At 32.8% G+C, this 1,081-nt stretch overlaps 1 annotated feature.

Moving 5' to 3' along the window:
• Nucleotides 1-201: a silencer, noted in NCBI's record as "peak3749 fragment used in MPRA reporter construct". NCBI's record gives its function as "represses an SCP1 promoter by STARR-seq MPRAs in K562 erythroleukemia cells {active_cell/tissue: K562}" and the evidence as "EXISTENCE:reporter gene assay evidence [ECO:0000049][PMID:32103011]".

Raw genomic sequence — 1,081 nt, 5'->3', positions numbered from 1 at the left:
TGGATGCTGAGTTTCTTATATTCTCAGATATGTTCCCTTCTTCTTACCTCCTAATTCAGAGAAAGATAAAAATATCTTCTGTGGTCATTGAGTCATTCAGGGTTCATGTCTGTGGAAGAGTTTATAGATATAAACATGTGGAATACCGTGTAATGTCATTGCATGATAGAGGAAACAAATGTCACAAAAGAATATTAAAACATGTGTTGTATATTAGGTTGGTGCAAAAGTAATAAGATGATATCTCTACAAAAATAAGTTATTCGATTATTTGCCATACTTTTCTAAAAGTCCCCTGGCCAAATAGAGATATGTGTTCATTCAGTGACCATGGAAACATCATTAGGGAAAAATACATCATCCAATTTGGTTGGTGCTTGAAATGTAAATTATGCTTATATTGTGGAAAATTTTTGATATGTTTTATGTAGATTTTGTACAGTGGGAAAACACAAAGTTTTTGATGAGAAATATATGATAATAGTTATGCTTGGGGAAGAATAATGAAATCAAATGATATACATATTTGAGCAGGGATGAGGTACAGACAGAACCGAGCTGAAGTCTAATTAATGTAAACAAAGAGATATACCAGATTAAAGCCAGGAGGGCATCATTTATTGGTTCCAACGGGACATTCACATACAAGTGGGATAATCCAATTCATTCATGTATTTTTCACACATAGTTATATCTATGTATTTTCCATCTGTAAATCCTCATATGGATGCAAAACATAATTTGGTTTTTCTACCTTTAATAGATAAGATGCATTTTTATATTGAACATAGAACAAGAAATGCAGTTGTTATACCATATTAAACGATCTTCTAAGATTGATTTTTATCATACAGGATCTTTAGTTTGCTGAGCATATAATCTCTTCATGCACACTATAACTTATTATATATTTGAAAAAATTAATAATCTTTGGAATTTTTAAGCTTTCAGATTGAATTGGGCTAGAATTATATTGATTTGAATAGACATGGCCACCAGTCACACAGAGTCCTGGACTCAAAAGAGCTTTGTTGGCTCACGCCTGTAATCCCAGCACTTTGGGAGGCTGAGGTGGGCGGAT

The sequence above is a fragment of the Homo sapiens genome, chromosome 2 (assembly GCF_000001405.40).
Source record: "Homo sapiens chromosome 2, GRCh38.p14 Primary Assembly".
Classification (NCBI taxonomy): Eukaryota; Metazoa; Chordata; class Mammalia; order Primates; family Hominidae; genus Homo; species Homo sapiens.
This window is presented reverse-complemented; position numbering and strand designations above follow the sequence as displayed.